The sequence below is a fragment of the Homo sapiens genome, chromosome 1 (assembly GCF_000001405.40).
Source record: "Homo sapiens chromosome 1, GRCh38.p14 Primary Assembly".
Taxonomy (NCBI): Eukaryota; Metazoa; Chordata; class Mammalia; order Primates; family Hominidae; genus Homo; species Homo sapiens.
This window is the reverse complement of record NC_000001.11, coordinates 197,787,383-197,788,736: the sequence shown is the minus strand read 5'-3', so window position 1 is coordinate 197,788,736 and position 1,354 is coordinate 197,787,383. Positions and strand designations below refer to the sequence as shown.

Here is a 1,354-nt window from a genome sequence, read left to right as displayed (position 1 = left end):
TGCAGATAAAGAATATAATAGAGAATGGCATCAGCAAGATGATAGAATAGGACTTTCCAGGGCTTATCCCCTCACAGGAATATCAATTTGAACAACCATCCATGCAAGAAAATACCTTCACAAGAACTAAGGTGAGAGATTATGCCACCTGGGTGAAGCATGGAAATAAGATGCATTGAAGAGGGTAGGAAGGACAGTTTCATATTACACCCTTCCCCAAGCTCAGATAGAGCAGCTCAGAGAGAGATACCCTTCGCATGAGGGAAGGAGAATGAAGTGAGCACCCAACTTTGCTGCACACCCCAGCATCAGGCCCATCTCAGTGAACCCCAGCACGAGGCTAGACCAAGCCACCAGCCTGGCACCTGCAGACCTGGGCTCCAGGCCCACTCCAGCACCAGGCTGGCCTCCACTGTCCCAGGTTCCAAGACAGCCCTAGGTTCCAACAGTACAGCCTCTGTTGCCCCAGGCCCCAGGCTCCAGGCCCACCCACCGCAGCTCCAGGCCAGCTTCTGCAGACTCCAGCCTCAGAACTTCCCTGCAGATATAATCTCCCAGCCTCTAGTTTGGCCTCCAGTCAGACTCCAGGCCCATGCAGGCCAGGCCAGTCCCTGGAGCGCCAGGTTTCATGCGTGCCCCAGGTTCCAGACCAGCCCAGAGCCAGGTCGGCCCACACAGCCCCAGGCTTTAGGCAAGTCCTCTGGCCTCAGGCCCAAGGCCAGCACCCACTGATACAGGATCCAGGCTTGCCCAATACCAGGCCAGTCCCTGCAGCCCCATCTTCCAAGCTGGGCTCTACATCCCTATACTACAGCATACCAATGGTCCAGGCTCTCCCAGTATACCCTAGTACTGGGCTAGCCCCACAGACTCAGGATCCAGGACTGCCCCAGTGGATCCAAGTCCAGGCCAGCTCCCATTGCCCCAGTATCCAGGCCAGATCTTGCACCTAACCTCCAGGCCAGCACCCAAACACCCAGACTCCAGGCTGGCCCCATAGCCCCAGGCTCCAGGTCGGCCCCCATGGCTTCAGGCATGAGGCCACTATCCACAGTCCTAGGCTCCTAACCAGTCTCCAATTTGAGGGCCTTTGCTGTGAGGGGTTTCTAGGGGCATTGTAGCATAAAGTAGTGAGGTAACACATAGGAATAGTTTAATTATTAGAGACTTTTTGACATTTCATTATTATTTCACTTTTTTTTGTTTTTTAGACTTCTTTGTTAAAAGATGGGAGTAGGGACACAGTAAAGTTTCCATAGGAATATTTCTACCTTCTGTTATGATGATTCGAGTTTCACCTATGCTGGCCTTAGTATTTGGTAGCATTTAATATCGTGTTTTTAAACTTACCACT

The 1,354-nt window shown here is 52.2% G+C and overlaps 1 annotated feature.

Annotated features, from left to right (window-relative positions):
• Nucleotides 360-860: an enhancer, noted in NCBI's record as "H3K4me1 hESC enhancer chr1:197757007-197757507 (GRCh37/hg19 assembly coordinates)". NCBI's record gives its function as "activates a minimal SCP1, AML or CMV promoter by ChIP-STARR-seq in primed H9 embryonic stem cells {active_cell/tissue: H9 hESC(primed)}" and the evidence as "EXISTENCE:reporter gene assay evidence [ECO:0000049][PMID:30033119]".